At 41.7% G+C, this 5,397-nt stretch overlaps 1 long non-coding RNA gene across 1 annotated transcript; it reads left to right on the plus strand.

Moving 5' to 3' along the window:
• Window positions 1-1,292: 1,292 nt before the first annotated feature.
• Window positions 1,293-3,737, plus strand: LNCRNA-ATB (lncRNA activated by TGF-beta). Its single transcript, NR_160525.1, has one exon. It is a non-coding gene; the product is annotated as a lncRNA activated by TGF-beta (long non-coding RNA).

Here is a 5,397-nt window from a genome sequence, read left to right on the forward strand (position 1 = left end):
GTAGGACAGGTCTGCTGTTGTTGAAATCCCTTAGCTTTTATTTGTTTGGGAAAGTCTTTATTTCCTCTTCATGGTCAAATGATATTTTCACTGGATATGTTATTCTAGGGTAAAAGTTTTTTTCCCTCAGCAATGTAAATATGTCATGCCACTGTCTCCTGGCATATAAGGTTTTCACTGAAAAGTCTGCTGCCAGATGTATTGGGGCTCCTTTGTATGTTATTGTTTCTTTTCTCTTGCAGCTTTTAGGATTCTTATTTTATTCTTGACCTTTGGGCGTTTGATTATTAAATGTCTTGAGGTAGTCTTCTTTGGGTTAAATCTGCTTGGTATTCTATAACTTTCTTGTATTTGGATATTTTCTCTAGATTTGGGTAGTTCTCTGTTATTTGAAGGTTTACTCAAAATAAACTTTCTCACCCTGTTCTCTACCTCTTTTTCAAGGCCAATACCTCTTAGATTTGCCCTTTTGAGGCTATTCTCTAGATCATGTAAGCATGTGTCATTGGTTTTTATTCTTTTTTCTCCTCTGTGTGTTTTCAAATAGCCTTTCTTCAGAAGCTCATTAATTCTTTCCTCTGCTTGATCCAATTTGCTCTTGAAGGACTTGATGAATTCTTAAGTATGCCAATTGCATTTTTGAGCTCCAGAATTTCTGCTCGATTTTTTAAAATTATTTCAATATCTTTGTTAAATTTATCTGATAGAATTCTGAATCCCTTCTCTGTGTTATCTTGAATTTCTTTGAGTTTCCTCAACGCAGCTATTTTGAATTCTCCATGTGAAAGGTCACATATCTTTGTTTCTCGAGGATTGATTCTTGGTGCCTTATTTAGTTCGTTTGTTGAGGTCATGTTTTTCTGGATGGTGTTAATGCTAGTAGATGTTCCTCGGGGCCCGAGCATTGAAGAGTTAGGTATTTATTGTACTCTTCATTGCCTGAGCTTATTTGTAGCCATCCTTCTTGGGAAGGCTTTCCAGTGACACTGGTTCTTTCAGACTTGTAGAGGTACTGCCTTGATGGCCTTGGATAAGATCTGGGGTGATTCTCTGGATTACCAGGCAGAGTCTCTTTTTCTCTTCCCTTACTTTCTCCCAAGAACACAGAGTCTCTCTCTCTCTCTGTTCTGAGGCACCTAAAGCTGGGGCTGGTATGATGTATGATACAAGCACCCCTATGACCACCACCACCACTTCAGGTACTGGGTCACACCTGAAGCAAGCACAGTGCTGGGTCTTGCCCAAGGCCTGTCTTAATCACTCCTTGGCTATAGCCTATATTCACTCAAGGCCCTGGGGCTCTGCAATTGGCAGGTAGAAAAGTCGGCTGGGCCTGTGTCCTTCTCTTCAGGGTGGCAAAGTCCCCCTGGCCACCAGTGGGTCCACAGATGCCATAGAGGAGTCAGGGACTAGAGTCAAAAAACTTAGAAATCTACTTGGCATTCTGTTGTACTGTGGCTGAGCTGGCACTCAAACCACAAGACACAATCCTTCCCACTCTTTCCACTTTTTCCCCTTTCCAAAAGCTGAGGAGCCTTACCCCGTAGCCACCGCCACACCTGGCCATGAGGAGTACTGCCAAAGTACCACCGATGTTCCCTTAAGGACCAAGGGCTCTTATATCAGCTTGTGGTGAATACTGCCTGGCCTGGGACTCACCCGTCAGGGCAGTGGGCTCCCCTTTGGCCAAGGGCAGGTCTAGAAATGCTGTCCAAGAGTCAAGTCCTAGAATTGGGAACCCAAAAGCCCACTTGGTGCTCTACCCCACAGTGGTGGTGTTGGTACCTAAGATGCAAAACAAAGTCCCCTTTACTCTTCCTTCTGTTTTTATCAAGTGGAAGGAGTTTTGCCCCATAGCCACCACAGCTGGTAATGTGCATAGTCTCACCTGAAGCCAACAAGTCTCAGAAGCTCACCAAGGTCCTCAACGTAGTACCCGGGTATCACTGCTGGTTATTCAGGACCCAAGGGCTCTTCAGTTAGCAGATGATGAATGCTGCCAGGACTGGGTCCTTTCCTTCAAGGCAGTGGGTTTCCTTCTGGCCCAGGGTGTATCTAGAAATGTCACCCCAGAGCTAGAACCTGGCACAAGGGCCTCATGACCTCAAGGTGCCCTGTCCTTCTGTGGCAGAGCTGATAAGCAAGATGCAAGACAAACTCCTCCCAACTCTTCCCTCTCCTCTTCTCAAGTGGAAGGAAGGGGTTTCTTTTGGATCCACAAGCTGTGCAGTCTCAGGTTAGGGGAGAGGTGATGCCAACATTCCCGTAGCTGCCCCAGCTGGTATCTCAGTATGTCCCATGCCACTTCAGTCCATTGTCTTTGGGCCTAGTTCAGCACTAGGACTCACCTATGAGGTGCAGTCCTTATGGCCTAGATTACCTTTCCAATTTACTTAGACAACAAGAGCACTGTGGCCTTTGGTACTGAGGTTTGCGGGCAGTCAGGTTTGGACTGCTGGTATCAGTGATTGCCCTCTGGCTGAGGCTGGTTGACATGCCTTCTTTTGGGTGGACTTCAGCTTAGTTTGGTCAGGTTTTCCTTTTTGCTGCAACAAAATGGCACTGAGTTCAGTGCCTCACAATTGCTCTGTTCTCCCTTCACCAGCACCCAGAGATGCTCTTGGCACCAAGCCATGCTGCTGGGGTCAGGGAGGGGTGGCACCGGAGACTCGGAACTGTTTTTCTGTCTTTTCAGTGTCTCTTTCAGTGATACGAGGTTAAAACCAGGTACTGTGAGTGCTCACCTGATTTTTAGCTCTTAGGAAGATGCTTTTTTCTGTGTAGTTGTTTGTTAACTTAGTATCCTTGTGGTAGGGGTAGGAGGATGATCTGTGGAGTTTTCTGTTCTGCCGTCTTGTCTCACCTCCCTCCTAAAAAAATATTCTTAAATGAGATTGTAATGTTTATATGAACTTGCACGAAGACAGACGTCTTGTGCTTGGATCCTAGGTCTCTTACCGGTTTTGTAACATTCTTCAACATACTTATAACTCTGTGCCTATGATTCCTTCTCTGTAAAATGAAGATAAGAATAGTGTCATAATGGATATAAAACCTTTAAAACAGGACTAAACGCCATGTAAGGTTAGGTGGTGGTATTGTTACTATTTATCTTATTTATATCATATTCTGTGGTGACCTGTCTGTATTTGCGAATACCTTTCAGTGATAGGAAATTAATTCTACTTCTTGATCCTAATTCTACTCCCTGTCTGTTCCTAATCTTGTTTTCCTTTGCTTCCTCTTTTCTCATCTACTCATATTTTATGCCTTCCTTCATGCTTTACATAACTTGTAGCCACCTTCAGTGTTTTTTTGGAATAAAGTAGTGTATGCATACATACATATAAATCTTTGTTCCTAGAATTTAGCACTGTTAGTGCATGGTCTTTATCTTGGATGTTCATATATTCTAGTTCCCAGAACAGTAACTTCTAGACCTTAATAAATTATTTATTGAATGAACAAAGGAATTAATTACTTTGAATTTGTGAGGTGTTGTATATGATTATTATTTTATTCCTAAATCTTATCATTCTTTAGACCAAAAGGATATCCAGTTTGACAGTGTTCTTTTTTAAGAATGATGCTTATAACTGAATATAATAGTTCTTATGGGATTCGATCAACAGAGAGTAACAGAGTATTATTGTGTTATTTTATTCTGTGTGTATTTGTCTATTACTGTACTTAAAATACCAAACGGGAGGGGCAGTATGACTTTGGACTCATTTACCATAATATTGAAGTCAAATGTGTTGCTGTTAAATCAGCTTTCTTTACCCAATTCACATTTGTGCTTAAAAAAAAAAAAGCATTACAAGACCTTGCATATTTCTGTTCAACTTATTTTTAACATTCATTTCATTATTGCAACATTTATTGTAAGTTGTATCAGTTTCATGTTTCTTCATCTTCTATATATGGAGATTATGCCCCAGTTACATCTCTTTATCTGTAAGACTAGTAATATCAAAAAGGAAGATGAATTTCATGTCTTAAAATTTATCCTTAGTAAATTCTATATTTTCTGTTGATTATCACTTTTAAAGGCCAAACCCTCTTTTTAGGAATTTTTCCTGAATCCCATCCAGGAATCACATGCTGTAGTTTGCTCTGATTTACTAGATTTGAAATCACCCTTTCCCATTTATGTGAAAATTAGATTTCTGTTTGTAGGGAAAAGAAAGAGAGCTCAGACTGTTACTGTGTCTATGTAGAAAGAGAAGACATAAGAAATTCCATTTTGACCTGTACCTTGAACAATTGCTTCACTGAGATGCTGTTAATTTGTAACTTTGCCCCAGCCACTTTGCCCCAGCCACTTTGCCCCAACATTGAGCTCACAAAAACATGTGTTGTATGGAATCAAGGTTTAAGAGATCTAGGGCTGTGCAGGAAAGGACGTGCCTTGTTAACAAAATGTTTATAAGCAGTATGCTTGGTAAAAGTCATCGCCATTCTCTAGTCTCGATAAACCAGGGGCACAGTGCACTGTGTGGAAAGCCACAGGGACCTCTGCCCTGGAAAGCCAGGTATTGTCCAAGGTTTCTCCCCATGTGATAGTCTGAAATATGGCCTCATGGGATGAGAAAGACTTGACCGTCCCCCAGCCTGACACCCGTGTAGGGTCTGTGCTGAGTTGGATTAGTAAAAGAGGAAAGCCTCTTGCAGTTGAGATAGAGGGAGGCCACTGTCTCCTGCCTGTCCCTGGGAACTGAATGTCTCGGTATAAAACCCGATTGTACATTTGTTCAGTTCTGAGAAAGGAGAAAAACTGCCCTATGGCGGGAGGCGAGACATGTTGGCAGCAATGCTGCCTTGTTATTCTTTACTGCACTGAGATATTTGGGCAGAGAGAAACATAAATCTGGCCTACGTGCACATCCAGGCATAGTACCTCCCCTTGAACTTAATTATGACATAGATTCTTCTGCTCACATGTTTTTTTGCTGACCTTCTCCTTATTATCACCCTGCTCTCTTACCGCATTCCTCTTGCTGAGATAATGAAAATAATAATCAATAAAAACCGAGGGAACTCAGAGACTGGTGCCGGTGCAGATCCTTGGTATGCTGAGTGCTGGTCTCCTGGGCCCACTGTTGTTTCTCTATGCTTTGTCTCTGTGTCTTATTTCTTTTCTCAGTCTCTCATCCCACCCGATGAGATATCCCACAGGTGTGGAGCGGCAGGCCACGCCTTCAGTGTTCGCTAGTTTCAATGCTTACAATGCCTGTCATTTATCTGTAGCTCTTATACTTTTTATAAAAAGTAATTTTACACCAAAAGCCTTGAAACTTTTTTAGAGTAGTAGATTTGAACTCTTGTTATTATTTTATTCTACTGTTATCAGTAACCTCCCATGTTAACACTATTGTTTCTTTCTGTTTACTTTCA

The sequence above is a fragment of the Homo sapiens genome, chromosome 14 (genome assembly GCF_000001405.40).
Source record: "Homo sapiens chromosome 14, GRCh38.p14 Primary Assembly".
In the NCBI taxonomy this organism is placed as follows: Eukaryota; Metazoa; Chordata; class Mammalia; order Primates; family Hominidae; genus Homo; species Homo sapiens.